This window comes from Homo sapiens, chromosome 17, assembly GCF_000001405.40.
Source record: "Homo sapiens chromosome 17, GRCh38.p14 Primary Assembly".
In the NCBI taxonomy this organism is placed as follows: Eukaryota; Metazoa; Chordata; class Mammalia; order Primates; family Hominidae; genus Homo; species Homo sapiens.
The window spans coordinates 44,200,691-44,224,534 of NC_000017.11; the positions used below are offsets into that span (position 1 = coordinate 44,200,691).

General features: G+C 56.5%; 1 protein-coding gene, 1 long non-coding RNA gene and 1 other non-coding gene across 7 annotated transcripts in view, besides 19 other annotated features; 1 reads left to right on the forward strand and 2 right to left on the reverse strand.

Annotated features, from left to right (window-relative positions):
• Window positions 1–35: part of a biological region, named in NCBI's record as "H3K27ac hESC enhancer GRCh37_chr17:42277555-42278093", that runs on past the window's edge.
• Window positions 1–35: part of an enhancer, noted in NCBI's record as "H3K27ac hESC enhancer chr17:42277555-42278093 (GRCh37/hg19 assembly coordinates)", that runs on past the window's edge. NCBI's record gives its function as "activates a minimal SCP1, AML or CMV promoter by ChIP-STARR-seq in naive and primed H9 embryonic stem cells {active_cell/tissue: H9 hESC(naive and primed)}" and the evidence as "EXISTENCE:reporter gene assay evidence [ECO:0000049][PMID:30033119]".
• Window positions 1–23,017, forward strand: part of ATXN7L3-AS1 (ATXN7L3 antisense RNA 1) — a 24,868-nt gene extending 1,851 nt beyond the window's left edge. Inside the window, exons 1-2 of one of the 2 annotated variants that reach the window (NR_184072.1) lie at window positions 20,712–20,926; window positions 21,772–23,017. This is a non-coding gene — a long non-coding RNA (ATXN7L3 antisense RNA 1). Of the gene's footprint in view, window positions 1–20,711; window positions 20,927–21,771 lie in introns of those variants that run through there. The other variant, NR_184071.1, reaches the window with a different exon arrangement.
• Window positions 36–573: an enhancer, noted in NCBI's record as "H3K27ac hESC enhancer chr17:42278094-42278631 (GRCh37/hg19 assembly coordinates)". NCBI's record gives its function as "activates a minimal SCP1, AML or CMV promoter by ChIP-STARR-seq in primed H9 embryonic stem cells {active_cell/tissue: H9 hESC(primed)}" and the evidence as "EXISTENCE:reporter gene assay evidence [ECO:0000049][PMID:30033119]".
• UBTF (upstream binding transcription factor) lies at window positions 4,350–20,614 on the reverse strand. 4 transcript variants are annotated; one of them, NR_045058.2, is made up of 21 exons: window positions 20,511–20,614; window positions 17,482–17,606; window positions 15,839–16,014; window positions 15,216–15,299; window positions 14,964–15,119; window positions 12,528–12,592; window positions 12,129–12,249; window positions 11,654–11,764; window positions 11,183–11,316; window positions 10,916–11,057; window positions 10,600–10,641; window positions 10,349–10,462; window positions 10,102–10,257; window positions 9,628–9,783; window positions 9,434–9,544; window positions 8,955–9,043; window positions 8,662–8,851; window positions 7,174–7,221; window positions 7,009–7,080; window positions 6,764–6,907; window positions 4,350–6,677 (listed from the first exon to the last, which is right to left on the reverse strand). NR_045058.2 is itself a non-coding variant. In NM_014233.4 (21 exons), the coding sequence occupies exons 2-21, from the start codon at window positions 17,537–17,539 to the stop codon at window positions 6,552–6,554; spliced, it is 2,295 nt and encodes a 764-aa protein (NP_055048.1). In that variant the 5' UTR covers window positions 17,540–17,606; window positions 18,755–18,985; the 3' UTR covers window positions 4,350–6,551. The 4 variants fall into 4 exon arrangements, 3 of the variants coding, with proteins under 3 accessions (NP_055048.1, NP_001070151.1, NP_001070152.1); NM_014233.4 differs by lacking the exon at window positions 20,511–20,614 and adding an exon at window positions 18,755–18,985; NM_001076683.2 differs by lacking the exons at window positions 11,654–11,764; window positions 20,511–20,614 and adding an exon at window positions 20,050–20,192.
• Window positions 6,273–6,773: an enhancer, noted in NCBI's record as "H3K4me1 hESC enhancer chr17:42284331-42284831 (GRCh37/hg19 assembly coordinates)". NCBI's record gives its function as "activates a minimal SCP1, AML or CMV promoter by ChIP-STARR-seq in naive H9 embryonic stem cells {active_cell/tissue: H9 hESC(naive)}" and the evidence as "EXISTENCE:reporter gene assay evidence [ECO:0000049][PMID:30033119]".
• Window positions 7,081–7,149, reverse strand: MIR6782 (microRNA 6782). The gene has a single exon (NR_106840.1). It is a non-coding gene; the product is annotated as a microRNA 6782 (primary transcript).
• Window positions 7,415–8,614: an enhancer, noted in NCBI's record as "P300/CBP strongly-dependent group 1 enhancer chr17:42285473-42286672 (GRCh37/hg19 assembly coordinates)". NCBI's record gives its function as "activates an origin of replication core promoter dependent on BRD2, BRD4, P300/CBP, MED14 and CDK7 cofactors, with strong dependence on P300/CBP, by STARR-seq in HCT116 cells {active_cell/tissue: HCT116}" and the evidence as "EXISTENCE:reporter gene assay evidence [ECO:0000049][PMID:35650434]".
• Window positions 9,208–9,257: a silencer, noted in NCBI's record as "silent region_8579". NCBI's record gives its function as "represses an Ori minimal core promoter by ATAC-STARR-seq in GM12878 lymphoblastoid cells {active_cell/tissue: GM12878}" and the evidence as "EXISTENCE:reporter gene assay evidence [ECO:0000049][PMID:35858748]".
• Window positions 9,678–10,147: a silencer, noted in NCBI's record as "silent region_8580". NCBI's record gives its function as "represses an Ori minimal core promoter by ATAC-STARR-seq in GM12878 lymphoblastoid cells {active_cell/tissue: GM12878}" and the evidence as "EXISTENCE:reporter gene assay evidence [ECO:0000049][PMID:35858748]".
• Window positions 9,678–10,436: a biological region, named in NCBI's record as "Sharpr-MPRA regulatory region 7848".
• Window positions 9,711–10,005: an enhancer, noted in NCBI's record as "tiled region #7848; K562 Activating DNase unmatched - State 5:Enh". NCBI's record gives its function as "activates a minimal TATA promoter and a strong SV40 promoter by Sharpr-MPRA in K562 cells {active_cell/tissue: K562}" and the evidence as "EXISTENCE:reporter gene assay evidence [ECO:0000049][PMID:27701403]".
• Window positions 9,711–10,005: a silencer, noted in NCBI's record as "tiled region #7848; HepG2 Repressive DNase unmatched - State 12:CtcfO". NCBI's record gives its function as "represses a minimal TATA promoter and a strong SV40 promoter by Sharpr-MPRA in HepG2 cells {active_cell/tissue: HepG2}" and the evidence as "EXISTENCE:reporter gene assay evidence [ECO:0000049][PMID:27701403]".
• Window positions 9,715–10,436: an enhancer, noted in NCBI's record as "H3K27ac-H3K4me1 hESC enhancer chr17:42287773-42288494 (GRCh37/hg19 assembly coordinates)". NCBI's record gives its function as "activates a minimal SCP1, AML or CMV promoter by ChIP-STARR-seq in naive H9 embryonic stem cells {active_cell/tissue: H9 hESC(naive)}" and the evidence as "EXISTENCE:reporter gene assay evidence [ECO:0000049][PMID:30033119]".
• Window positions 12,024–12,093: a silencer, noted in NCBI's record as "silent region_8581". NCBI's record gives its function as "represses an Ori minimal core promoter by ATAC-STARR-seq in GM12878 lymphoblastoid cells {active_cell/tissue: GM12878}" and the evidence as "EXISTENCE:reporter gene assay evidence [ECO:0000049][PMID:35858748]".
• Window positions 17,712–17,881: a silencer, noted in NCBI's record as "silent region_8582". NCBI's record gives its function as "represses an Ori minimal core promoter by ATAC-STARR-seq in GM12878 lymphoblastoid cells {active_cell/tissue: GM12878}" and the evidence as "EXISTENCE:reporter gene assay evidence [ECO:0000049][PMID:35858748]".
• Window positions 17,932–18,951: a silencer, noted in NCBI's record as "silent region_8583". NCBI's record gives its function as "represses an Ori minimal core promoter by ATAC-STARR-seq in GM12878 lymphoblastoid cells {active_cell/tissue: GM12878}" and the evidence as "EXISTENCE:reporter gene assay evidence [ECO:0000049][PMID:35858748]".
• Window positions 18,711–18,875: a silencer, noted in NCBI's record as "fragment chr17:42296769-42296933 (GRCh37/hg19 assembly coordinates)". NCBI's record gives its function as "represses an EF-1alpha promoter that drives an FKBP-Casp9 reporter gene in an ReSE screen in K562 erythroleukemia cells {active_cell/tissue: K562}" and the evidence as "EXISTENCE:reporter gene assay evidence [ECO:0000049][PMID:32094911]".
• Window positions 19,002–19,691: a silencer, noted in NCBI's record as "silent region_8584". NCBI's record gives its function as "represses an Ori minimal core promoter by ATAC-STARR-seq in GM12878 lymphoblastoid cells {active_cell/tissue: GM12878}" and the evidence as "EXISTENCE:reporter gene assay evidence [ECO:0000049][PMID:35858748]".
• Window positions 20,202–20,421: a silencer, noted in NCBI's record as "silent region_8585". NCBI's record gives its function as "represses an Ori minimal core promoter by ATAC-STARR-seq in GM12878 lymphoblastoid cells {active_cell/tissue: GM12878}" and the evidence as "EXISTENCE:reporter gene assay evidence [ECO:0000049][PMID:35858748]".
• Window positions 21,136–21,740: an enhancer, noted in NCBI's record as "H3K4me1 hESC enhancer chr17:42299194-42299798 (GRCh37/hg19 assembly coordinates)". NCBI's record gives its function as "activates a minimal SCP1, AML or CMV promoter by ChIP-STARR-seq in primed H9 embryonic stem cells {active_cell/tissue: H9 hESC(primed)}" and the evidence as "EXISTENCE:reporter gene assay evidence [ECO:0000049][PMID:30033119]".
• Window positions 21,492–21,651: a silencer, noted in NCBI's record as "silent region_8586". NCBI's record gives its function as "represses an Ori minimal core promoter by ATAC-STARR-seq in GM12878 lymphoblastoid cells {active_cell/tissue: GM12878}" and the evidence as "EXISTENCE:reporter gene assay evidence [ECO:0000049][PMID:35858748]".

Sequence of the window (23,844 nt, forward strand, 5' to 3'; positions counted from 1 at the left end):
GCCCTTCTGCGCGGAGCGCCCTCCCCGCCCCTCGTCCTAATTTAGATCCCACACCTGCTCGCCTTTCCTGCTTCCGGAACCCACGCTGGACCCCCACCCCTCCAGACAGCCTCCTTGTCACTGGCCAGATCCTTCCCCCGACCCAGTGCTGTTCCCCTGGGTGCAGCGTGTCCCTGTGCTCACGCTCTCAGTCCCTCTTTACCTTAGGAAGGGACAGGCCTTTTCCCAGCCGCGGTGGATGGCTGGATTGGCGCTTTCATCTCGGTTACTCTGTGTGTGGTGTCCTGGAACGGTTGTGTGACAGCCCTCTCCCCTCAAGAGATAAGATTAAAAAGGAGGATAGTCTGTAATCACATACTTGGAGCCATCTTTGGTTTTTAGTTTTCAGCAAATACTTATTTTTTTCTCACCGATTTCTCCCGAGAAACAGCAAACATTTATTGAGGCGATATTCCAGAGTAGTTCAGATCAGGCGTCTGATTTGAATTTAAATCGTTGGGCCTAGCAAATGAGTTTCCTGTGCCTCAGTTTCCTCTGTTGTCAGTGGGCATAATGATAGTCCTATCTCCTTGCGTTGCTGTAGTGATTAACAAGTCAGTGCATGTGAAACTCTTAGCTCTGTGTAAGTGCTTGGTAAATCTTAGCTGTTATTCTCACGGTGCTCCAGGTGCTGGGATAAAAGATGATATAAGACAGTTGTGCTTCTTCAAGAAGTTCACTGTCTTGTGGATAGATAGGTAGGATAATAATTGCAAAACAGTGTGAGGAAAACAACAGAGAGAAAACAGAGGTAGACAAAAGGAGACATCAAATGATGTAAGAGAGTTGGTCAAGAAAGGCTTCTTGGGCAGGGTGCGGTGGCCCAGGCCTGTAATCCCAGCACTTTGGGAGGCCAGGAGTTCGAGACCAGCCTGCAAAAATGCAAAAATTAGCTGGGCGTGGTGGCGGGCTCCTGTAATCCCAGGAGCTACTCGGGAGGCTTAGGCAATAGTAGTAATCCAGCTACTCGGGAGGCTTGGGCAGGAGAATCGCTTGAACCCGGGAGGCGGAGGTTGCAGTGAGCTGAGATTGCGCCACTGCACTCCAGCCTGGGCAACTGAGCGAGACTCCGTCTCAAAACAAAACAAAAAAGAAGAAAAAGAAAAACTTCTTATAGAGGGAGATGAACCAGGTGAAGGTAGGCCAAGAAGGCATTGGACATCCCCAACTGGAAGCTTCAGAAGCATGGATCAAGCTGGAACAGAGGAGTGGGTGGCAGAGCAGCAGGAGGTGAGCAGGCTGGATAATACAGGACAAAGCAAAGTAGGTGTTGAAAAGTTTGTGGGCTTTAGCCTGTAAGCTGTGAGGAGTCCTCAAGGGGAATCATTCACCAGACTTATATTTTTAGTGGATCATGCTGGAGTATGGTCTGGAGAATAATTTAGAAGCAGTAGGTTTTTTGTTTTGTTTTGTTTTGTTTTTTTAGACAGCATTTTGCTCTGTCACTCAGGTGCAATCTCAGCTCACGGCAACTTCTGCGTCCCGGGTTCAAGTGATTCTCATGCCTCAGCCTCCTGAATAGCTGGGATTACTGGCGCACGCCACCACGCTCGGCTAATTTTAGTTTTGTATTTTTAGTACAGACAGGGTTGCACCATGTTGGCCAGGCTGGTCTCGAACTTCTGACCTCAGGAGATCCGCCTGCCTCAGCCTCCCAAATGCTGGGATTACAGGCATAAACCACTGGGCCTGGCAAAAGCAGTAGGTTTTTGTTACTGATTGAGGTGTGTGGAGGAAAGGAGAGGGAGGTCTTGAAAACACCTTTACTAGGATGGGGAACTCAGGGGAGGACATGGGAGGACACAGGATGACTTCAGTCTGGGATATATTGAGGTTACTGTGGGATCAGCTGATGGAGACCCAAAAGGTGGTTGAACTCAGGTCTGGCACAGAGAAGTAAGCTAGGTCTTCAGGAACTTCAACAACATCGCCTCAACCTTTGTTTTCTCTTATCTCCCGCCTCCTTTTCAGGAATTCTTCACTCCAGTGATGCTGATCTGTTTCTTACCTAAATATGCCCAGTACATTCTGCCCTAAGGAATTTGCGCCATGGCCAGAAAATCCTCCTGGCTTCTCCCTGTTTACCTAAATCCTTCCTCATATCCCCACCCATGGCCATCCTCATACCAAACTTCTTTACAACTAGACTGTACTATTCATTCTGTGCTTGGCCTGGGCTGCTCTGTGGTGGTGACCTCTTTGGGCACGTGCCCAGTCTCCACAGTTAGCACCAGTTCATAAACACTAAGGCCTGAGCTGGTCCTGACTCTGGGTGAGGCCCTGGGGTTACAGCAACAAGCAAGAGAGACACACAAACCTTGTCCTAGCGCAGCTTACAGCCTAGCAAGGCCTGATGTGAAGGAAATAAGGCCTGAGTGTGAAGGCATTCAGGCTGCTGAAGAAACGTATAGTGTGGAGACCTTTTTTCTCAGGAGTTCAGGGAAGGAAGTGGTCTTTTAAGTGGAGACCAGAATTAACTAGGCAGAGAGAACACCATGTGTATAGGCCCTAGGAGAGAGCATGTTATGTTCGAGACATGAATGGTCAGTGTGGCTAGAGTCGGGGGAGGGCTAACGGGGGCAGCAGATCCCCAAGGGCCTTGTGGGCCAGACCTATTCACCCACTCAGCAAATCTTTCTTGATTGTCAAATGTATATCAGGCAGTTTCAGGTGCTGAGATTACTGTAATGAACAAGCAGATAAGGTGTCTTCTACTTGGGGAGATAGATAATAAACAAATACATAAACAAGAAGATGGAGGAGGCCTCTCTAGAGCAGGTGGTTGGGAAAGGCTTCTCTGTGAGAGGACATGTGAGTTGAGGCTTAAAGAATGAAAAAAAAAAATCAGGTATGTGTAGAGTTGGAGGAATAGCCATTCTAGGCAGAGAGAACAGGTGCCAAGACCCCGCAGGTAGGCATGTTTGAGGAACAGAAGAGATCACTTGGTTGGATCGTTGTAAGTGGTTAGGAAGAGCAGGGTGAGAGAAGATAAGAGAAGGAATGCGGGGGCCAAGCCTTGTAGGGCCATGGTAAGACATGGTAAATTTTCAGTACAGAAATAATCAGATTTATTTCTGAGATAATTTTGGCTGCCATGTGAAGAATGGGCTGTAGGGGGCGAGAGTGGAAGCAGGAAGACCAGCTTTAGGAGGTCTTTGCAGAAGTTGAGCAATGATGGTGGCCTGAAATAGGATGGGAGTGGCAGCTGTGGGAGCCACCCTGTGGGAGGGGTCGACAGATTTGAGACAGCTTTAGGAAGTGGAATGGAGAGGTCTAGGTGATTGAACCTCGAGGTGAAAGGGAGAGAGGAGTCAAGGCCAATACTCTGCTTTCTAGGTTGAACGACTAAGTGTTTGGTAATCATTTCGGGTCTTGAGGTATGAGATGTCTGCAAGATATCCCAGGGGATGCAAGGGTGTCTACACAGGTCTGCAGCTTGGAAGAGCAGTCTCTGTCGGCACCACCTTTCGGAATGGTTGCATATGCGTGATAATGGGAGGTTGAAGGGAGAGACATGAACACCTGGGATAAAATGAGGAAGAGCTGACACCAACAGAGTAGACCAAGAAGGCAAAAGACAAGACAAGTGTTCACCAGATGTAATGAACATGTTGGTGACCTTAGCAAGGAACCTCAAAGGATGGTGGTAAGTGGGAGGCCAAGAGGCACAACAAGCTTTTTAGCAGTTTGGCCACTATAGGATAGGGGCAAGGGCTGGGAGAGAGTTCTCCGACAGGACCTGGGTCTGCAGCCCTTTGAGGTTCCAGGAACCCAGCCAAGGCCTGCGCAGGAAAGGGTGTCTTCCCTTAATCTCAGAGAGTGAGTCATCTCAGCCCAGCCCAGCCTGCTTCCCATCAGAGGCCTAGATGGTCCTAGGAAAGTCATCCTTAACCCTTAACCTTTAACCTGGGATGGAGCTGAAGGCTCAAAGTGAGAGCGTGCTCCCTCAACTCCCCACGATAAGCCCTACACTAGGAAGGCTTGCATGCCCAGGGCGAACCCTTGACCCTAGTAGCTCATCACCTCCAATTCCCCAAGACCATGTACTTTGGGTGAAAATGCATTTGTTCTCCAACTTCTCAGAATCTTTAGTGGTCTCACAACCCAAGGTGAACAAATGGAATTGAGAAAAGGGCAAGAACAGTAGCACAGAACAATGTGAAGGTAGGTTGCCTATGGAATCTTTAGGGAAGAGGAAGATAGTTCTAGGAAGAAAAGGCAAATTGGCTTCAAGCATTTTTATAGATCAAACCTGTTGGGTCACCCCTGTGAACCTTCATTGATTCCAGTGACCAGACAGCAGTCAAACCTTTGTTTTTCACTTTATTATACAAAAAAGGGAAAACAAAACTTCCACAGTTGGCTTTAAGCATAGGCAGACACCTCTAAGCCACTCCCTCCCACCTCCCATGATACAAATTCAAGTTGTGGTGGTTGTTGAATCCTACAAAACACTCCTTAAATATTAGAAAAGAAGTTGGGGGTGGGGATGGGGGTCTTCCCACCCCAGCCATCCCATCCCAGTGCCAAAATGCACTCAAGAGTGACCTCTTACAGCACCAACACCCCCACCCTGACAGTCCTGTTTGTACTGTAAGAATTTTTCAATTTTTAAAACAGGAAAGAAAAAGTGCCCCATTCAAAGTTGTTTTTAAATGAAAATACATTCCACTGAAACACAACAGTGTAGGGGCATCCAAATAGGAAACTGGGGTTCTTTGCAGGGCTCTTGGGAAGAAATAGAACCTATAAACCCCTGTACTTAATTCCAGGATTAGGACAAAGGAAGGGGAATGGGAGTGGGGAGTGTCCCCCCCAGGCCTCCCCACCCCCAGCACCAAGGTCCAAGGCAAAGCAGAGACTGTCTGCCTTCCTTTGGGAGAGGGACCCACCAGCCTCTCTGGGACCAGGGCCCTTCACCGTTCTTGCTCCACCTCCGCGGCAGAGTTCCCGCTCTTCCCCCATTCCTTGGCTTTCATTCAGAGGGGGAAGGTGGAAAAGCACCAAGCCCCAATTTAATAGGTCAGTGACATGACCATAAAAAAGAACCCCCCAAATTTAGTCAACAAAAAAATAAGAACTACAGAGATAAGGTGGCTTGGCTTATTAAGAGTCAAGGAATCAAGGTACCAAAAAATACGGGAGATGGCTGGGAAGAGTTAGAGACAGCTGCAGATGCAGCTTTTGCAGACTTCTTGCCCAGCTGTGGGGTTGGGGGAGGAGGGAGCAGACCTGAGAAATTAAAGGAAATAGGGGGTGGTGGGAGGATTCAAGGAAGGCTGGAGGGATGTGTAAGTTAGGAGCTCCCAGCACATTTCTTGAAGCCCAGGTTCTGAGCCTGGGGTGGCCAGGCTTGGCCTCTCAGATGAACAGGGGAGACCTTTTCCATCAAATACAAGCTTTAAGCTTCACACCATCTTGCCTGCCTTTCCGCCTTCCTGCTGGACAATGGAGACCAGCAGCTCGGATGCATGTGACTCTGGCAGAGGGAGCCTGGTCTGGGAAGCATCCGAGAATGGCTTCAGCACACTCCCCCTAATGGAATCAGAGACTGGGCAAAACAGAGGATGTGGAGAACGGGGCAGCCTCAGCCTGCTCCCACCAGGGTCAACATCTCCCGGCCCTCACCGACCCTTTTTCCAGATTCACAACAAACTGATGTGGGCTCTAGGACAGACCCCTTTACACACACACACACACACTCACACTCTTTTGCACACATCCACAGCTGCACCCATGCTATGTACAGGAACACACATACACATACTCTCTTCCACATACATCAAGACCATTTTTAAAAGGTTCCAAATCTACCCCTAAACCCTCCCTCTCCCAGAAATGACAACAGAGACGGCAGCCGAGATCGGTAGGAAACGTCTCGTTGACAGCTCAGAGCTTAAAAAAAAATATATACACATATATAAAAAACACTTCTGCCCCCTCCCCCATGAACGGGTCCAGGCAGCTCCTTCCTGCAGGGGGCAGGGGAGAGGGCCACCAGGGCAGTGCCTGTTTTCTTGAAGGCACCGACCCTCCTCCTCCCCATGTTCCCTGCCTCCAGTTCCAATGCAGGGGTCCAGGTGGCAGGCCCCTCTGGGAAGGAATGGGTCTTCCCCAAGCTTCCACCCCACCTTGGATTGGGCCGCAGGTGTGGAGGGCCTCATCAAACTCTTTGGGACCCCCCACCCCCACTCTCCGGTCCATTGTCCATGCCGGAACCGCAAGTGCAGAAGTGGGTGGGGTGGGCCAGGCTGGTCCGGTGCTGGCTTAGTCTGATAGTTGCTGTCCCTGGAGGAGGACCCCCAAGGGCTGATGTCTCTGAGGCTGCAGAGTCCTGGCCTGGGCTCCTCCAGCCCCCTACCCCCACCGTATTTTTTTTTTTTTTTAAAGAAAGAAAGAAAGTGGGGGAGGCCAGGGGGGCAAGGGACAGAACATGGGGGAGAAACAAAGGTGGTCAGTTGGGGAGGGGAGCTCCTGGGCTCTCCCTGGCTGCCCTGGGGTGGGGCTGAGCCTCAGTTGGAGTCAGAGTCTGAGGAGTCCCCTGAGGAGGAGGAGCTGGAGCTGCTGCCCTCGGACTCATTATCTTCATCCTCATCGTCATCCTCGTCGTCGTCTTCGTCCTCGTCATCCTCTTCATTCTGGGGGGTGAGAAAGGATGTGGAGTCACCAGGTGGCCCTCCTGGCAGGACTCCCCTCCCCTCCCACTGTGCCCTGTCTGCCCCACCTCATCCCCATCCTCGCTCTCGTCCTCGCTGCTGGACTCAGAGGAGTCGCCGCCATCTTCAGAGGAGTCCCCATTCTCATCATCTTCCTCTTCTTCATCCTCGTCCTCGTCATCCTCATCCTCTTCATCATCCTCCTCGGACTCCTTGGAGGGATGGAGGCACATCAGTGGTCTCTGGTCTCTGCCCAACCATTCCAGGCAGTGCCCCCCGCCCCACGCCCCTGCATCTGGGAGGGGCTCCTTACCGACTTGGACTGCAGAGTAGTCCGGCTGGATTTGGGGTTTGGGCCTCGCAGCTTGGTCATGCTCTTACGTTTCTGCAGGATGGGGACACAAAGGTGGCAGCCATGAGTTCGACACCCCTGAATTCCCCCACCCCTACCCCACTGCTGCTCTGCTCCCAGACTCACATTGGAGATGTACTCTTTATATGCTGCACGGTCCTGGGGAGACAGGCTCTGGGGGAGACAGAAGCGGCAAGGGTTGGAACATAGCCAACTACTGCTGACTGAGCATGCTGGCCCAGTGCTAGGCAGTGGGCTGAGCATTTATATATCATCACCCCATCTTACCCCTCCCAGGCTCCCTAGATTTTGGGTCTCTGCAGAGAGCCCCTGGGATCTGAGAACACAGCTCTAATTTTTTTTTTTTTTTTTTTTTTTTTTTTGAAACAGGGTCTTGCTCTGTCACCCAGGCTGGAGTGCAGTGGCACAATCTCAGCTCACTGCAGCCTTGACCTTCCCAGGCTCAAGTGATCCTTCCAACTCAGCCTCCAGAGTAGCTGGGACTACAGGCATGTGCCACCACACCATGCTACCTTATAATTTTTTGTAGAGACAGCAATCTCACTATGTTGCCCAGGATGGTCTTGAACTCCTGGCCTCAAGTGATCCTTCATACCTTGGGCTCCCAAAGTGCTAGGATTACAGGCGTGAGCCACTGCGCTGGCCCAAACCCTAGTATTTCTGCTTCTGATACCCAGAGTCCTTCTCTAAACCACTAAGACTATTGGTTTTCACATTTTCCCTGTTGCTTTTCGCAAATGGAAGCTCCTATCAGAGTCTTCCTCACTCCAAAGAAGTGCCCCCGTGATGAGTCAGCCTGGCATCATCAACCACACCCCAACACCAAACCCTTGAGCCATCGATGAGGCAGTGGGGCTCACCAAACTCCTGAAACAGCAAATCCCCACAGTCTTCCTGGGTCCTTGGCCAACCTGCCTTGGTGAGTGGGAAGGACACAGGTGATTCTCTCCACTTTACAGATCTGACTACTCAACCAAAGCACAGAGGGGAAGCACAAAGGCCAGGAGTCTAGGAGAGGTCCCGTGGTCCCAGATGGGGGAGGAAAAGGCAGTCTGATTTGGATTCTTCTACTTACTGTGTGACCTTGGGCAAGTTACTTAACCTCTCTGAGCCTTGGTTTCCTTATTTTTAAAAGGGTGATAGTGGCTGCGGACGGTGGCTCAAGCCTGTAGTCCCAGTGCTTTGGGAGGCCGAGGTGGGCGGATCACATGAGGTCAGGAGTTCGAGACCAGCCTGCCCATCTCTACTAAAAATACAAAAATTAGCCAGGTGTGGTGGTACATGTCTGTAGCCCCAGCTACTCTGGAGGCTGTGGAAGGAGAATCGCTTGAACCTGGGAGGTGGAGGTTGCAGTGAGCCGAGACTACACCACTGTACTCCAGCCTGGGCAGGAGAGCAAGACTGTCTCAAAAAATAAAAAAAAAAATAAAAATAAAAGGGTGATAGTGACCGTTATCCTGAAGGATTGCGAGGGCATGGAATGAAATCATGAATGAGACCAGCCAGCACAAGTGGGTGGATGGGCCAGGCTAGGATGGTGCTGGCTTAGTCTGATGCCTCTCTGTTCCTTCCAAGGGTCCCTTGCCCTCTCACCTTAACCCAGAGGTCCAGGTGCACCTTGTACTGCTTTTGCTGCTCCTCGGCCAGCTTTTTGTAGTGCTCCTTCTGGCTCTGGGAGATGCGCTGCCAGCGACTGCCGATCTCCACCATGCGCTCCTTCAGCGGCAGGTGGTTCAGCTCCCCATTGGACAGCAGCTCCTGGGAGAACTTCTGGTAACCGTTCCTGGGAGGTGGGTTGGTAGAAGGAGGGTCAGGACCCCAACAAAGCAGCCATCCAGCCCTGACCCTCCCCGACCTCCAGGGCAGACTCCAACCCCCAGGCTCACATGGGAGGCTTCTTGGGTTCTCCCTGGAATTTCATCTTCTTGGAAGAATTTGTAGCAGCTGGAGGTGCCCGCATCTCACTCAGCTCTCTCTGGAGGGAGAAAGGTCACGCTCACCCCCCAGTCCCACCCCCAAAATACTGCTGCCTTCTGCCTCATGCCATCAGCACCTTAGCTGGCTGTCTTTTTCTGTGCCAGGGAGGAGGAGAAACAGGTAGCTAGTGAGCAACTTCCTAACAGCTCACGTCTGAGGCAGGCACCACAGTTTACAAGTGCTTTCACAACTGCTCGCATCCTCCGAGTCAGCCTGGAGGTTAGCAATGTCACCCCCACCTTACTGATGAGAGACAGAGGTTCAGAGAAGGAAGCTGAGACTTGCTGAGAGTCACAGACCAAGGCTGGGACTTCTTGCTCAGAGCTGCCCAACCAAAGGGGAGTTCCCGAGCTTTCAATGAATGGGGTGGCCCCAGCCCCATTCCTACCTCATATCGCTTTTGGTCTTCGGCTGCCTTCTTAATCCACATCAGTTTCTCCTTCTTTTCCATGTTATTCCAGGTCATTTCCATGGCTTTCAAGGCCTTCACCCGGTCATTCTGGGGACCAATAAGGGTATCAGCCGTGGGAGGGGTCACCCGGGGCTAGAGGCTGCAGTACTACCCTTTCCCACCCCTGTCACCTTGAAGCGGGCCAGGTAGTCGCCGATAACGCTCTGTTGCCAGATCTCCTCAGCTCTTTTGGGGGACTCGGGCAGCTTGCCCCGTTCCTCGCGCTCCCCGCCGGGCTTCCTCTCCGACTGAGCCTTGAGCGCCGCCTCTCGGGCCTTGTACTTGGCCTGCGGGGATGGCCCGGGCGTCAGCCTTCCACCCACCCCCAGGGGGCGCGCGCTCCCCGCGCAGCAGCCCAGGCGCTCCCGCCGGCGGGCAGAAGCATGGGCTGGTGCAGATGTCTCCCGCCTGGGGCTCGCCCCCGCCTGGTCTGCGGCGCTCAGCTGACAGCTTCCCGCCTTCCGGCTGCTGGGCGCCGGCCCCACGTCCCAGCCCAGGCACCGCGTGGCTCAGGCGGCCAGGGGCGAGGTGGCACGGCCCGCCAAGGGGAAGAGGGGGCCCTGGCAGCCCCCCTGGGGGCACAGCGCTCCGCCAGGCAGCCTGACCTTCTTCTTCTCAGACAGGTCGTTCCACATTCGGGCCAGCAGGCGGGTCAGCTCGCTCTCGGAGAGCTCAGGCCGCTCCTCCTGCAGCTGCCGCCGTTTCTCCTCCGAGAAGATGAACATGGCCGACACGGGCCGCTTGGGCTTCTCGGAGCCGCCCTGTCCAGGTGCAGAGGGTCGGGGTCCGTGGGTGCTGCCAGGGAGCCCAGTCTTGCCCACCCCCGCCTGCGCGGCCGCACCCTCTGCCCACCTTGCCCCCTTCCTGGGCTGGCTTCTTGGAGGCGGGGCTGGTGGCCTGCTTCTTGTTGATGTTCAGCATCTTCTCTTCCCCCAAGACCCGCTGCTGCTCCTCCTCAGGCAGGCTCTGGACAGGAAAGAGGAGCACGGGGCTGCATGCCTGGCACCCAGACTGCATGGTGCCCTATCTCCAGGGGCTCACCAGGGCTCTGCCTGCCAAGTCCCAGTCTTCTCTGCCCACTGCCCCACCGGAGGAACACTCACCTCGAGGAAACGGAGCAGCTCCACCTCGTAATCTTTCTTTTTCTGGGAAAGTGAGTGGAGTCAGGATCAGTCTGGAGACAGTGTCACCACAGACCCTGCAGTACTCGGAGGACAGTGACCTTCAGCGGGCCTCCAGAGCCTGGGTGTGGGCTGGACTCCCTGCCTGGACGGGCTCAGTTGCTAAGCCCAGCCCAGCCCCACACTGTATTGGAGGCAGGTACCCAAGGCACACGCCACCAGGGACTGACTGGCCCAAGATGGGATCAGACCTCATGCTTCAAAACCCCAAGGCAGGGTGGCCCCTGCCACAGCTCACCTGATCACACTTCTTGTGATAGGCGTCCTTCTCCTTCTGGGACAGCAGCTTCCACTGCTGGCTGCACAGCACCATGCGCTCTGTGCTGGGCACGTCCTTCATGTTGGCCATGAGCTCTGCGCAGTACAGCGAGTAGCTGTTCCTATCAGAGCCGCGGGGAGAGAGGTGCAGCCCGTAAGCGAGCAGGGCAGCAGGCCTTCTCACCTGCAGAGCCCAGCCCAACTTCCCAGCTGCCCACTCGCCCACCCATCCCAGGGCAGCGCTCACGGAGGTGGCTTGGTGGGTCGCCCGTCAAACTTGTCCTTGAGCTGGCGTTCGGCCTTGGTGAGGGTGGACTTGGTGATACCCTCCTCACTGATGTTCAGCTCTGGGTGCTTCTGGATATAGTCTCTCATGATCTCCTGCAGAGCCAGGTGGGGGGACGGAGGGCAATGGGGTGTGGAGTTAGCTAGGGCAGGGGCAGGGGGAGAGCCGCTGGGGAGGGCAGGCAGGGAGCAAAGCTGGGGGTGGCTGCGCGTCAGTGGTGTCACACGAGACGTGGTGCCCTGCCCTGCCCTAGCCTGAGATCTCATGGGGGTGGGGGGTGGGGAAGGTAGGGGCAGAGGTGAGGGGCCCAGAAGGCCCCTCCCTCAACAGAGGGATGGGGAGTGACACCTCCCGCAGAGTGCGGTGGCCACGGAGTCGGAGGGCAGAGGCTCGTGAAGAGCCGGACGGGGAGGAGCGCAGCGGAAGCCTAACCTCGTACTCCTTCCGCTGCTCCAGGGCCTTATGAATCCATTTCAGCCTCTTTTTGTCCGAGAGCTGAGACCACTGCTTCCCCAGGGAGTCCTTCACCTCCTTCGTAGTGGCCTGCAAACCAAAAGCCGTCAGACACGCACAGGCAGCCAGGGGCAGGGGGAGGGGGGAAGGGGGAAGGGGGCACAGAGGCCCCCGCCCCCTCAGGCCATGGGAGGTCACATCAGTGTCCCCCACAGGCCAGGAGGGGAAGGCGGAGAGGCGGGGATCCCGCCTGGGTGCAAGGGGACTGGCTCATACACGCACGCACACACGCACACGCTTGCACGCCAGCTGGCCCGGGCCCTGTCCATGCAGCCCACCCCTGGGGAGGGGCCTCCTCTCCTGCTCCCCTGCACCGTGCCCGGCCGACCTGGCGCGGCTCCCCCCTGGCCACCGCCGTGCATCCTCCACCCCCAACCCTTGGCCGGACACTCACATCTGGCCGCACTTTGAGATACACCTTCTTCTCGTGGGTGTACCACAGCTGCTGGGGGGTTTTGGGCTTCTCTGGGATGTCCGATTTCTTGGCATTCTGGATTAGGTCGGGGTGATCCTCCCTAGCCAGGACACGGGGAGCAAGGATCAGCAGGGGACGCTGCCAGGGCAGACTCAAGCTAGCTGCCCCACCCACCAAGCCTCCTGGGCCTTTCAGCTGGGGCTCAGTGGGACGGTGGCTGCCTGCCTGTCTCTGTCCCTGAGCATGACACACTAGGGCTCACATGTGACCCATCCTCTTCCATGCCTCAGAGATGGCAAACTCAAGGCTCTGGCCAGGGTTAGCCTATTCTGCTGCCCCCAGTGCCCCGTGGCCCTCCTCTGGGCTCCACTGCCTTACCTGAATCGGGCCAGGTTTCGCTCGAACTCCTGTTTCTCTCTCTGGAAGTCCTGAATATATTTCATCTGGGGGGAGGAGGGGATGGGGTCACTCAGGACCCAAGGGTATCTCACCCTGAGCTATGAAGGCCACCCAGACCCCTCCTCGCTGGCTCTTCTGCCTCCCACGCTGTGATGCAGGGAGTGGAGGCTGGCGCCCTGCCCGCCTCCTGGCGGGACTCACCACAGAGCAGACCTGCTGGCTTCTACCACAGATGGTGGGAGCTGCAGGGGTCGCCCAGACACTGAATCCTACATCCTATTCTCTCCTTCTGAGCAAGAGTCCCAGAAGGGGGCCATGGCATTACCCACGGTCACACAGTGCGCAGTGGCAGCGCTGAGCCTCCCCCACTCGTTTCTCCAACACCATAGAACTCTCACAGTGGCGTCGGGTGCAGGCCTTGCTCCTGTCACTCCCTCTTCTCACTGTCTGTGGCAGCTGACATTAGTCTGTCCCCTTGTACGTAGCCTCTACATCTATGGCCAGGGCTGGGCTGAGTCCTGTTTCCAAGGCATGAGGGGAGATTGTGTGGAGGGGAACCCAGAGCGAGTTCTTCCAATACAAGTCTCAGCCAGCTACCCTGCATCTTCCTGCCCAGTTCTCACACCATCACCTTCTTCTCTTTCTCCAGGATCCTGGCTGTCTGGCCCCTCCAGCCCTCCCTCCCTCAGCCCACTCATTCTTTCCCACCACTTGGCTTCCCTTCCCTTCATCACCCCCTTTTTAGCCTCCCCACTCTCACCTCACTCCCTCCCTGCATCTTTCCCCACTTCTCCATAGTCTCCTTCTTGTTCCTCCTTTCCAATGTGTCTCTTTCTCTTCCTCATCGACCTTCTCTCTTGGCTCCCACACAATGTCCATCTCTTCTTTCATCCTCGCGGGCTCACAAGAGTGGCACTGGCAGGTGCCAGGAGCTCATGGCAACTGAGCCCAACCCCTGCCTCTTATAGAAGCACCAGGCATAGAAAGGCAGTGCTCCTTTCCCACAGTTCCCACAGAAAACCAGAAGCAGAGCTCAGCCTCCTCTTCCCCCATCTCAGTCCTCCTCAGACAAAACAGTTTTAGACCTGAAGGGGACCACACAGACCTGGCTCACCTCACATAAAGACCAGGCCCACAGAAGTGAAATGACTTACCAAAGGCCCCATACACAGCGGTTCAGTGGCAGAGCCAGGAGAACAGGCCCAAGTCTTGTGTCCCCCAGGACAGCACCTTGTCCACTCTACCAGTTTCTTCTGGCCTTCCCTGGCTCTGACTCTAGAGCTTGGCCTCTCCCTCCCATCCCATGAGAGTGTTTGGGTGTGTGCAGTCAACTGTCCAACATCCTCATCAAAGGGGTCAACAGTTCCAGCAATCCATACCCCTCTCTGCTTGGGCAGTGGTTGCAGACAGCTGGCTTTTTTGGGTACAGCACCAAGGGCATGTGAGTCTGCAGCCAGGGTATGCCAACCAGGAAAAAGGGCTACTCATAGCATGGCAGCGGCCAGTGCCCCCTTTTGAGAACTGGCTGTGTATGACTTTGTTTCCTCTCCAAGCAGATGTGCTTCTTGTCTTTCCTGCTGCCCTTCCCCATCTATCCCTGGCTCTGTCTCCTTGTCCCGTGTCTCTTCTTTGTGTCCTCTGTCCCCATCCCATCTTCCTCGTGTCCCATCTGCAGGCTCCTCCAATGTTTTGCTGCCTATCTCTGGGAGGGACCTCCTGAGCTCTGTGACTGAGCCCTGCCTGGGAGGCTTAGGCAACCCTCCACCCAGAGTTAATGCTTTGATGGTCTGGGACAGTGCCCGACCTCTGCAAGGAACAGTATGAGGCCAGGAGGGACAATGTGTGTCCTTGAGTGAACACGTGTGCGTGGAGAAGTGCACTTCACAGGTGGACGTGGCAGTAACAGCACTGGACTGGGACTCTGGGGCACTAAATCCTGCTCTAGCATCAATAGTTGTGTCACCCGGGACACTTAACCCTCCTGCACCTCAGTTCCTTGCCCACAAAACTGGGATAACCTTTTCCTAGGGTTACCTTTATAAAGACATTGCAAGTATCAAATGAGACCATGACGGGAAACGTCATAGAGGGTGAAGAAGTGCTGCGGAGCCTAACAGTGAGGATGGGTGTATGGGGGAGAGAGAGCTTGAAACAGAATGCTGTGGGTTTTCTGTAGGGGGAAAGGTTGGTCTGAGCACCTGCTGTCTGGTTTACATCTGTGATGGTGCCTGTGCCTGACCATGTGTGGGCCGAGGAAGGGGCAATCAGGTGTGGCTGCCCAGGACCTATTCTGCTGTGCTGACTCACCCTCATCCCTGATGCCAGGTTTCTCCAAGGCCTACCTCCAACTGACCCACACCACACCAGCTGCTCCCAGCCTCTCCCCTCCTCCCACCTTAACTCTCCTCCCCCCACCTTCTTCTTCTCCGGAAGCTCCTTGTATTTCTTGGACAGAATCTTGGTTAGGTCCAGGTTGCTCATCTCAGGGTGGAGTTTCGCATACTTGGCCCGCTTCTCCATGAAGAAGCGGAAATAAGGGGTCAGGGGCTTCTTTGGGAAGTCTGGGTGTTTCTGGAAGAAGGGACAAGGACACAATGGAGGTCAAATACATCCCTTCTTTGGACCTTTCCTCCCATACCCCTCATGCTCCTCCTCCTAGTAACTCACCTTGAGTTTTTTGCCTTTGTAAGGATTTTTAACATGTTCCTGAGCATCGAGGATCAATTCTGTCAATGTACGGAACTTCCTCACCTGGAGGAAGAGGGGTGGGAGGAAGGGGAAGTTGGGAAAAGGAAAATGCCACACAGTAGTATACCCCCATCTTATAACGGGTCTCTTCTACTCTTTACTAGACTAAATTTACCAAAGAAGAGCAGAGGCCAACAGCCAAATGAAGCAGGCAGCATGACACCCAGGCACTGGCCCATGCCTACCGCAGAGGCCCAGGCAGTCAGTACACACCAAAGGCCAGCAACAAGGGGACTAACTGACCTCAACCTGGTTGTCCATGCTAACACCTCCGTCAATCTCAGCATGCTAGCACCTCCGTCAATCTCAGCACAGCTCAGGCTGTTTGGCTCAAGACCACTCAGATAGAAAGTGGCATAACTTTAAGCCAGTGCTGTCAACCGTGCCACCTCCCAAAATGCAAAGGGGCAGGTAGAGAGCTAACGGGAGACCACATGAATGCCTCTCCTGGTCTCTTTCCTTCCTGTTTACAGCCTGTTTCACTTCCCCCACCACGCTGAGTGGGGGGTATGTGTGTATGTCAGAAAAGGGGGATCAGTTACCTCATTAGAAATCTCCACCCATTTGAGCTTGCACATGTCTCCAGAAAAGTCTTTAAATGCTACTTTTTCCCAGTCCATGTGTGATTCGGTGGTTTTGAACTTGGAGCTGTCATTGGATGGAAGGTTGTTCTTCATGCATTCCAGCAAAGTCAGCATGTCTTCCTGGGACCAACGGTCTGGTAAAGAGTAACAGAGGCCATCATGCCTGGCTCATGCTATCCCCCCGATCTGTTCCCCAGTTCTTGAGTGCTCAACTCTTCCTCCCTAGGGCATCCCAGCCCCTGGTTGCTTCCCATCTGAAGGCACAGACAAGATATGGCTCAGCCCTAAGGAAACTGTGGCCATATTGGATCAGGGCAGGGACTCCAGTCCAGACCATGCTATACCTAGAAAGCCAGGCTCGAACTCAAGTCTGGCTTGCTTCAAGGCTATTATCATTTATACTGTGCCAAGCTGCAACGGGCAGCTATTTGCTGTAAGGGGAAGAGGGGTGGAAATGAAGGTACAGTGATTCAGGGCTTTGTGGGAAACGAGGTAGCTTGTCAGAGAAGGAGGGAAGCAGGGAAGCAATATATCTAAATGTGCTGCCAAGTTCAAGTTCTGAGTGGATATTCTAAATGTGCAACGACTGAGAATGGGGTGTGGACAGTAAGGAAAATCCATGCAGATGTCTCTCCTGCACAGCTGGAAACCAATGTTAGAGACACCCACCACCCCCTAGCCCCTTAAAGCAGATCAAGGGAGAATTTCTGGCAAATAAGAAAAAGGAAACAGAAGCAGAAGCAGGATACAGGGCAGCTCTGAGGCAAGGTAGGCAGGTGCACAGAAACTCTCAGGGCCCTGCTCCAGGGAGAACCCCCAGAATTACAAGCTGTCTTGTCAGCCCAACTACCCAGGGAAGCAAGAACAGGTCTGGAACAGTTATTTTTCAGCCACTGAAATGCAGCCCCAGAGAGCTCTAGGCCACTGTGGATGGGCTGGGAGAATAGCCACCCAAGGCCAGAAGTCAAAAGGGCTCTCCATTTTCATTTGCATCTGGTAACCTGGGCCAGAGATTCTGCAGAATGGGCCACGTGGACCCATAATCCCCTCTCCCCTCAATGTCCCACAAGCATGGCCAGCTGTCCAGCTTCATCCTACTCTCTATCCCCATCTAGACTGGATCACTGCTGAATGAGGCAGAGATCTAGTTGAGTACATATATCCCATGGCTTGGGGCCTAAAACCACCAAAACAGCCCTTTTCTCCACCTGCCTCTACAAAAGCCTCATGGTCTTCCTAAAAAGCCTGAGAAGCCTTCCCCAACCCCTTCCTGACCCTTCCTCTACACTCATCCTTCCTCCCATTCCAGGACACTGGGCTGGGACACACTTCAGGCTGAATGGGAACCCCAGAAGGCAGGCCTCCTCTAACACAGAGGGTGAGGGACAGGGAGAGAGGGGAGGTGAGCCACTCCAGGCCAAATAATTTGGATTCAGCCAAACCCCAAGTGTGGGAGATGCTTGATTCATAAATACTCAAGGCACTTTCTCCCCCAGTTCAGTGTATGCAGACTGAAAAAGCCCTTGAAGAAGGGAGTGAGCCCCGCAGCCACGAGGGAAAGAGGGTTTAAGTTTCAGAGGGCCGGGGGTGGATGCCCCTACCTTGGCCTTTGGGGGCGGCCATTTCCAGGTCTGTGGGGCAGTCGGCTTCTCCGTTCATCCTCCAGCTGTCCAGCCACCTCCTCGGTCGTGCTGGCCGGGCAACCCGGGGTCAAAGCCACCTCACCCTTTGGAAGACATACCAGTTCCCACTCAGGAAGGCTGAGAGGTGAACGACTAACGACTTTCTAACCGCCCAGAGTAGAAGGGGGCAGGTCCACACTCTGAGAGACTCAGCCATGACCTTATTAGACTTAAGGGGTCTATGGGAATGGGAGTGCGCCCCTCCTCTTCCTCGTGACCCCCTCCCCCAGCCCCTGCAGCCCGGCTCCGCGGCGCGCGCCCTCCCCTGGCCACGCGAGGGCCTGCTCCTAGCTCCCGCGTGCAGCGAGCGCCCGCCCTCCGCCCCGCTTCCCAACCCCAGCCAAAAAAAAAAAAAAAGAAAAAATCTCCTCCTCCTCGGAGCGCCCGCCCCGGGGAGGCCCCAGGCTGGAGGGCGGGGGAAGAGGAAGGGCGGGTAAAGGGCGCGCGCGGCCACGGAAGCGGGCACGCGCCCCAGTCTCCTCCTCCCGCCTCCCCCCGGCCGGTTCCCCCCGCCTCCGCAACCCGGCGGGGACCCGGACGCAGCGCAGCCGCCGCCAGCCCCGGAGCGGAGCGGCCGCACCGCCCCCGGGGACCGGATCCGGATTCCCGCCGCTCCCCCCTCCCGGGCTCCCTTCGCCGTCCCCGCCCGCACAGGCGGGCAAGCAGCCGGAGAGAAGCGGCCTAGCCTGCCCCCCGCCCCCGAGCCACCCACCCCGGCCAGAGGCGCCGCCACCGCCCAGCCACCCCGACGCGCACGGAGGAGCCCGGCACAGAGGCGCGACCGCGGCGGGAACCGCCGCCTCCTCCCCCGAGCCTGCGGCCCAGCCCCGCCGGCGCCCCCGCCCCGGCCTCCGGGGAGCCGAGCCAAGGAGAGGGCGGGAGGACGGCGGCCGGGAGGCGGGGGCGCAGCGCTCACCGGCCCCGCCGCCCCCTCCGGCGGCCGGGGAGAACTGCGCCTGCCGGCTCCGAGAAGCGCGGGCTCCTCCGCCAGCGGCCGGGGCTCGGCTCAGGCCTCGCTTCCTGCCTTCCCCTCCCCCGGCTCTCGGCGTCCTCCCAAGTGCCCTGGTCTGCTCGCGCCCGGTCGCCTGCTCGGTGGTCGCTTCGGGTCCCCGCTGGGCGCCCACCGCACCCCGCGGTTCGCTCCCGCCGTCCGGCCCCGACCCCAGCGCGCGTCCTCAGCCGCCTCGGTTACCCGGCGCAGCGCGGCCTCCGGGCTTCCCGCTCCAGCGGCTCCCTCCCTGGCTCTGAGTGGCGGCGCCCTCCCCCGCTCGGCCGGGCACAGCCGCAGCTCCCTCCCGCGGCGGCAGCGGCTCCTCCTCCGGGCGAGGCGGCGGCGCTGGGGCGGCGGCTGCTGCTGCTGTGGCGGCGGCGGCGGCGGCGGCGGCTGTGGCTGCTGCCTGCTGCTCCTCGCGGCGAAAAGCACAAAGCACAGCGCCCTCCGCCTGCAGGCAGCCCGCCCGCCGCCGGCCCCGGCCTCAGCTCGCACACCCCCCGCCGCCGCCGCAGCCTCAGCCGCCGGAGCGGGGAGGAGGAGGGAGAAGGGAGGAGGAGGAGCGGGAGGGGGGGCGGGAGAAGCGGGGCAGCGAGCGCGTCCTTCCCCGTAGAGCGCACACCGACCCCCGGGGAGCGAGCGCCAGCCCGCCCGCCTCGCCGGCTCCGCTCCCTCCCACAGCCTGCCCGGGCGGGCTCCGCGGGGGGCAGCTGGGAGGAGGGGCGGGAGCTGGGGGGACCCGGGCGGCCGAGGCGGAGGGAAGGAAGGAGGGGAGGGGGGTGGTGGTGGTGGTGCTGGCGGCGGCGGCGGCTGCTGCTGCTGCTGCTGCCGCCGCCGGGGAAGGGGGGGGGGGCCGGGGCAGGGAGACACGCAGCCGCCCGGATGGCGGCGGGGCTCGGAGCCTAGGCGGGCGGGCGGGCGCCGAGAGCGACCTCGCCAGACCCGCGGGGGAACTAGCAGGCTTCGCCGGCGAGGGAGGGCCGAGGTGCGGCCGCGGAGAGGGTGCCCGGAGGTGCCCCCGGCGTCCGGGGAGGCTCGGGGGGCGCCCACAGCCCTGCTCCGGAGCTCTCCCCCAAGTTCTCCCAGCTCAGACTAGGGCTTCCAGGCCAGCTCTCTCCCGCCTCCCGGAGCGAGCGGTCCGCGCCCACCCTCATCCCCCGGAGCGTGGCCGCTGGTTTGGGGCGCACGCACGCCGATCGCGGCGTCCAGCTTCGGTGCCTACCTCGCGGTCCTCTCCTTGCCGAACGGCACATACGAAACTTAAAAAAAAACCCGAAAACTAAAACCTCTGCATTAAAAAAAAAAAATCCCCGTTGCTCTTTACACCCCGGAAACGGCAAGGGAACGACGGGCTCCGGCGGAGGGGCCGCTGTGGGAGCCGGTTCAATCCAGCCCGGCATGGTTCTCCAGGCCTGCCCGGGCGCATGAAGATCGGCGCCGCCGCCACTCGTAGCAACCCCTCTCCCCCGAAATCCGCGGCTCCCGGGCTCACTTACCGAGCGTGTGGATGGGAGCGCAGGCCGGGGGCACCTGGGAGCACGGCGGGCCGAACAGTCGAGCCGCAGCTCCGCTGCAGCCGACGCCGGGGCAGCGAGTCGCCAGACAAAGCCCGAGATGGCGAAGCGGAGCGACGGCTAATGGCGAGCCCCACGCGCCGCGCTCCGCCCGCCCCGCTCCGCCCGCCCGCCCGCCCGCCTCGGCGCAGCGCAGCGCCGCTCCGAGCGCTTGCCCGTCAGAGCCGCCTCGGCGCCGCCGCCTCCCGGGCCACCCCGGCCTCGCCTGGCCCCTCCGCCTCCTCCGGGCGGCTCAGCCTCACCCCTTCCCTCCCACTGCTCTAGGGGTTGCACAAAAAAAATTTTTTTTTTTTAAAGAAAAATGGTTTTCGTCTTTTTTTTTTCTTTTTGCAGGGCGGGCATGTTGAGACTTTTGGATATTTCTGCCCCCAGCTCGCACTCACCTGCGGAGCCGCCGGGAGGGCTAGGGGTGGGGGCGCGCGGGGCTGGAGCCGGCGAGCGCGGGTTGAAAGCCAGCCAAGCTCTGCAGCGCCCGACCCGGGCGTGTACGCCGCCGCCAGTCCCCGCAGAGAAATCGTCCTCCTACCCCGCCTCCATCGCTCTGCGTTTCTCTTCCAATCAGCCGGTCGCTTGGTGGCTCCTCCATTCTCCGGCCAAGCCCAGCTGCCTAGAGCGAGCTCCACTCCTCCATCTGTTCGCCGGGGTCCTCGCTCCCCTGCCGGGGCCGGCGAGACGGCGTGAGGCCGGAGGGGGATTTGCAAGGAAACCTGCCTGCTTCCCGCTCCCATTGCTCCATCCCCGCTGCCTCCTGCCTCCTGCTTCTCTCCTGCGTCTTTCCAACTCTCCCCTGTCGCCACTGGTGTGTGTCTGAGTGTGTGCGCGGTTTTTTTTTTTTAATTGCTCTTTGCTTTTGCAACCCTGAAGCAAAAGGGGGGGGGGGTAGTTACAGGGAAAAAAAAAGCGAGAAAGAAGCTCTTAGATTTGCAACACATCGGAAAACCGGGGGAGCACCCCGCCTTATCCGATCTCCATGCTCCGCAAGGGCCTTCCGGGTTTTAGGACAAGCTTCTCAATGTCCCGTTTCGCTGGGTTTAGGATCCGAGGAGTCCGAGCAAAAAGTTCTCCCCCTGGGTCGTAGTGACGGGTGTCGGGGTGGGAGTTGCGGGGATTTTTCAAGAAGCAGCAGCTACCCCGGCGTCGGTCACTGGGCCGGGGTAGGGGAAAGAGCAAAATCCCAGTGGGTTTGCGCGAGGGATCTTCTAGGGTCGAGGCGGGTGTGGGGGGAGTTGGAACCGGGAGACACCGCTTGGCGCATCTCTCCCTCGGTCTCTACCTCCTGTCCTATGCCAGCTCCCCCTTTAATTTTTTTCCTCTCCTTTAATCTAATTTCTTCCAACTCCACCTTTGTTGTTACCGGCGTCACACCCGGACCAGCCAATCCCCGCCACGCAATCAGCTTGTCAAAAAGCCTCGGCCATCCCTAGGAAAGCAGGCCGCAGGCGCTGCCCCCCGGCGGCGGCGGGCAGCCGCGAGGGGAGCCCAGCACCCGGTTCTCGCTGCCCCGGGTGGCAGCGGGGCAGCCTCCGACAAGACGTCCCTTGGTTCACTGTCCTGCAGGCCGGGGATGAAAGGCCTGGACAGGGTCCACCACCCACTCTCCCACTGCCACGGCCGTGGTTGACTGTCTTTGCCTCCCCTTTTCAGAGGAAAGGTTATCAGGACAGGACGCAGGGAGCCAGAAGACCATCTGAAGGAAGCCTGCTTCCAACGGGCCCAGCCTCCAGCCACCGCTCCTGGGGCAGCGCCATTGCTCCTGGCTCTCAGGCTGCCAGTCTCCCACACCGACGCTCTACTGCCCGCATCTCGGCCAGCTGGGTCACCCAGCCCCTTTCGACTCTCCCCTGGCACGCAGCCTTCTCCTTCACTCGGCCTGCCTCGCTGCTGCTGTAATTCCTCTTGTCTCCTGGGAGAAATGAGATTGCTTTCCCAGGACTTCCACATCCCACTTCTATCAGGTTTCACCAACAGGGAGGAAGCCCTGTCAAGATCTGGTGTGTCCTGTTTTTTTTTTTTTTTTTTCCCAGAGGGCACTGGCATGTAGGAGAAGCGGATTTACCACTAGTAGATGTTAATGAAATTTCAGCTTCTAGGCCCCTAACTTGCAGGACCTGCCCAAGGCCCTGAACTTAATTTTGTTTTCATCATTTGGTATTTTTTTGTTAAAAGAGCCACCGACCACCTCCCCGCTACCCCAGAACTGCACGTGTTTCTGGCCCTACAAACCCAGATCGTCCCTTGGAATATACACAGGGCAATTTGTGTAGGATCACACTGCGCTAAAAGTGAGGCATGGTGGGCTAGGCGCACTGGCTCACACCTGTAATCCCAGCACTTTGGGAGACCAAGACAGGAGGTCTTAAGTGATTAAGCCCAGGAGTTCGAGATCAGCTTAGACAACATAGCAAGATGCTGCCTCTACAAACACACACACCCCCTATTATAATATGTCAAAAAAAAAAAAAAAAAAAGGAAAAGTGAGGCATAGAACTGACTTTATTGTTTTGACTAGGAAAGAGCAAAGGGTTTGGAATCAAAAGTCCCAACTTCCCCACCTTCTTAATAGTGTGTGAATCTGAGTGCCTTATTAACCTTCCCTGGTCCCAGTTTCGTATCTGTAAAGTTAGAATAGCAATCCTGTTTAATTTGCTTCTCTCACCAGGGATCAGAAGGCCAAATGAGATGATGTATGTAAAATTGTAAAGTCCTCCACAGATGGCACTTGCCACATTACAGAGAACTTGAGACCCCCCCCCACCAATAACGTTCCAAATCTTCCACATGCAGATCTGGAGTCCAGGTGTCCTGGCTCCTGGCCCTGAACTTTTTGGCTGGGCCAAGGGGCTTTTCGGTAAAGTGCTTTGGAATAAAACAGGATGAACATGAATCATAAGAATGAGTATTTATTGATTCCTTGGGCAGCAAAAACTATGGCTGGCACCCTTCCCACTTGGAAACGAATTGGCTTGTTTTACATCTATTTCGTCTGTGGTGAGGTCAGGAGTCCAAGACTTGGGCTAACGGCCAGAGTATGAGGAATCTGCCCTTGGCCCTTTTTCTTTGCCCCATTTCCCAGTTCATCTCCCTCCTCACCCTCCAGCCTTCTGGCATGTGCCTTGAAGCAGAGCGCTGGCATTCAATAACCCCAGCCCAGGCTGGTGACAAAGCGGGATCCTAGCTACACAATTTCCACTTGGCCTCAGTATTTCCCCAGGTTGCCAGCATCCAAGCACCAGCTTATATAAAACCCCCAGAGTGCCTGGAATGCGTTAACCAAAGTGTGGTACTTAAATTACCAGTCTACAGGGAGTAATTTTAGATGGTATACCAATATTTTCAGATTTATGTATTTTAATGCATATTGGAAATGTTCTGTTTTTAAATTTTTATTTAAGATGGTATAAAGACACACGTTTTTGGGCCAAGAATGTTATTGTCCCTTGTTACTTTTTTTTTTTTTTTCCTTGGGACGGAGTTTCACTCTTATTGACCAGGCTGGAGTGCAATGGCGCGATCTTGGCTCACCGCAACCTCCACCTCCTGGGTTCAAGCGATTCTCCTGCCTCAGCCTCCCAAGTAGCTGGGATTACAGGCATGCACCACCACGCCCAGCTAATTTTGTAATTTTAGTAGAGATGGGGTTTCTCCACGTTGGTCAGGCTGGTCTCGAACTCCCAACCTCAGGTGATCCGCCCACCTTGGCCTCCCAAAGTGCTGAGA

Coding starts and splice junctions, on each gene's coding strand:
- UBTF (NM_014233.4), bottom strand. CDS start 17,539: ATGAACGGAGAAGCCGACTGCCCCACAGACCTGGAAATGGCCGCCCCC. Junction 15,120..15,215: donor ACAAAGGCAAAAAACTCAAG/GTGAGTTACTAG, acceptor CCCTTCTTCCAG/AAACACCCAGACTTCCCAAA. Junction 10,463..10,599: donor AGCTGCTCCGTTTCCTCGAG/GTGAGTGTTCCT, acceptor TTTCCTGTCCAG/AGCCTGCCTGAGGAGGAGCA.